This window comes from Homo sapiens, chromosome 7 (assembly GCF_000001405.40).
Source record: "Homo sapiens chromosome 7, GRCh38.p14 Primary Assembly".
Lineage (NCBI taxonomy): Eukaryota > Metazoa > Chordata > Mammalia > Primates > Hominidae > Homo > Homo sapiens.
Window position 1 is genome coordinate 12543214 of NC_000007.14, and position 1422 is coordinate 12544635.

The window sequence follows — 1422 nt, forward strand, 5'->3', positions numbered from 1 at the left end:
TAATGCCCTTCATTATGTAGTCCTGGTTATTTCTTTGTGTTCATCTCCAACTACCCTTTTCCAATTACTGGGCCTCTCCAAATAATAGAGAAACCTCATGAAGGAAGGGATTTTGTCATGTGTTTGCTGTTGTGTCCCAGTGCCAAGGAGAGTAGCTGATGTACAGTAGATGCTTATAAATAGTTTTCAATGAATGACTTCACTCCAATAGTCTGAGAGCTGTATAAAATATAGATAACTTAGTTATTGATTCCCACTCTGGGGAGCCCACAAAAATCAAAGTCATCCACTAGCAGTTGAAGAGAACCAAGTTTGATTTCTAGGTAAGCACTAACTTTTATTTATAAATTAACACCTCTGTGGAGTCATATGTACTTCCACTGTTTTGCATCTGTCAGGAATGTTAAAATTTTAAGATTCTTGTTCATTGAACTTAAAGTAGAATTACGACCACATGAGGTAGAAATACCACCACATGAGGTAAAAAATGAAACTTTTAAGGAAATGCTTGCGCTTAAATTATTGGTAAGTCTATGTCTTTTCATCAGAGCCAGACAAATACCGGCTTAACTTTAAGGCTTGCTGAGAACATTAATGATTAGCTGCTCAAAGCAGCATGAAATAAATAGCCTACATTAACATAAAACTATGATATCTATGCTCACATCCTTGCAAACAACAGATAACAGCAATCTATAAACTTCCGGTTATATTTATCTTTGTGTAGTTTGTGAATTCTGGATTACAAAGTGACTTTCAGAACAATACTAGATTATGTCATAGCTGGATTTAGGAAAATTATCATGCTGTTAGTTAACAGAAGAAGGGCAGTAAAAGCCAAGCTAATTTAACGTTATTATATATTTGTAATATAATAAGGACTTACCTGCATCAAAGTATATAATTTTCGGAAAGTCAGACAATAACTTTCATGTATATTATTAGTTGAAAATGAAATATTTTAAGCCTTCTAAAATATCTATTAAGCCGGGCACGGTGGCTCACGCCTGTCATCCCAGCATTTTGGGAGGCTGAGACAGGCAGATCACTTGAGGTCAGGAATTCAAGAGCAGCCTGGCCGACATGATGAAACCCATCTTTACTTAAAAATACAAAAATCAGCCGGGCGTAGTGGCCTGCACCTCTAATCCCAGCTACTCAGGAGGCTGAGGAGGAGAATTGCTCGAACCTGGGAGATGGAGGTTGTAATGAGCCGAGATCACGCCACTGCACTCCAGCCTGGGCAACAGAGTGAGACTCTGTCTCAAAACAAACAAACAAACAAACAAAAATCTATTAAATCACTAGCCTGAACACATAGCAAAGATTTATAACTCTTCAATGAGGGAATCAAGAAAATAAGAAAGGTGGATAAAAGGCCATTTTGAAGTTCTGGATATTTGTACACATGTTTAAAAAATG